This window comes from Homo sapiens, chromosome 17, assembly GCF_000001405.40.
Source record: "Homo sapiens chromosome 17, GRCh38.p14 Primary Assembly".
Lineage (NCBI taxonomy): Eukaryota > Metazoa > Chordata > Mammalia > Primates > Hominidae > Homo > Homo sapiens.
Genome location: NC_000017.11, coordinates 80518807 through 80520285, shown reverse-complemented (window position 1 = coordinate 80520285; position 1479 = coordinate 80518807). Strand labels below are relative to the sequence as shown.

The following is a 1479-nucleotide window of genomic DNA, read 5'->3' as shown; positions in this document are numbered from 1 at the left end:
GGTGTTTCTAACCATGACTGGACTCCTTCTTTCTCTCCCTGGGAACTGCATCCTCCAATTATCCCCCAAGCCTGCGCTGCAGCCTCCTCAGCCTCACTCTCTGCAATAATCTCACATTCTGCATCCACGCCACACACCCTCAGACTCTCACATCCTTACGCAACAAAACACTCGCTCACATTATCTCTACATTGTGGGCTCACTTATTCTCTATTATTTAACCAGAAGTAGCCCCAAAAGCATGCACTGAGCTTCTCCACCCGGCTGCAAACATCTCCTGAGAACATCAGCTCCCTTGGTTACAATTCTATATTCACCGTCAGAGACACAGCTCAGCATCTCCCTGACTGCGAAAATGTAAGGATCAATCCCTCTGCTCTGTGTGTTGTCTTATGTATCCAGGAATCACATGTCACATACGCACAATCTCAATTCTGGACTACAGTTCAGTCTCCAGGGAAGAGACTAGGTTTATTGACCTCTAGGGTCTAACAACTAGGCTATGGTGGGCCACTGGGCCAGGTAGAGAAGAAGGAAGGCAGGCCGGGAAATAGCCCTGGGCCTGAGTTAAAGTCCAGCTCTTCTCTGGCAAGCTGGGCCACGTTGGGATACTTCCTGCCCCTTCAGTGAACCTCAGTCATAGCTCCTTAAGGAGTTGGCTGTAAGAGGCTTACATGTGGTAACATACATGAAAGGCTCTTCTTTCCTGGCTCGGCTCCAGTGGGGATGACCTACTGCAGGCCAGAGGCCCTGGCTGCAGATCTGGGAACCTACCTCCTACTAGGAAGAAGCACATTGCCATCATTCAGTCTCTTGTGAGTTGGGTTATTATGAGTCTGTTTGCCAGAGTCTGAGCTCTAAAAGGGATGAGTGACTGGATTGGGAAGGCAGAGAGCTGTCGTACTATGTGGACCCTCCTCCCAGCCGCAGGGAACTGCCAAGTCCCATTCTTCATGACATCCTTCCTGTGTTGACACAATGTTCTCCCCTCTCTTTAAAATAACAACCTTTACTTGACCCTGCTGCCCAAGAACTTTCCTCTAAGATTCTGCCAGGCTATGCAGAGGGCAGACGTGAATGCAGGCTATAAATCAGGAGCCCTCGTGACTCTTAGATCCATTAATCCATCAAGAGAAGATTTGCTACCTCTTAGTGTTGAGGGAGAGACCAGAAATCCTCTCACAGGATTGACTAAAGGCTCAGGCAGTACATTTGATACAACTTACGACCCAGCACTTAGTGTGGTGACCCTCAGGGGCTTATGGGACACCAGTATTCTTCTCTGTGCCTTACTGCTTGCAGCTGCACCCACACCCCAAATCCAACGAAAGGAATCTGCTTCCTGCTTTGCCTGTCCTCAGACTGTATTTGGGTAAGGTAATAATATTGAGTTGTTAAGGAGAAAATGAGCCACTGCCATAATCTCCAGGATCCAAACATTCCAGACTGGGAGTTATCTGAAAGCTAGGGCCTCCTTCG

General features: G+C 49.0%; 1 annotated feature.

Moving 5' to 3' along the window:
- Window positions 823–1117: a silencer, noted in NCBI's record as "tiled region #6979; K562 Repressive non-DNase unmatched - State 21:Repr". NCBI's record gives its function as "represses a minimal TATA promoter and a strong SV40 promoter by Sharpr-MPRA in K562 cells {active_cell/tissue: K562}" and the evidence as "EXISTENCE:reporter gene assay evidence [ECO:0000049][PMID:27701403]".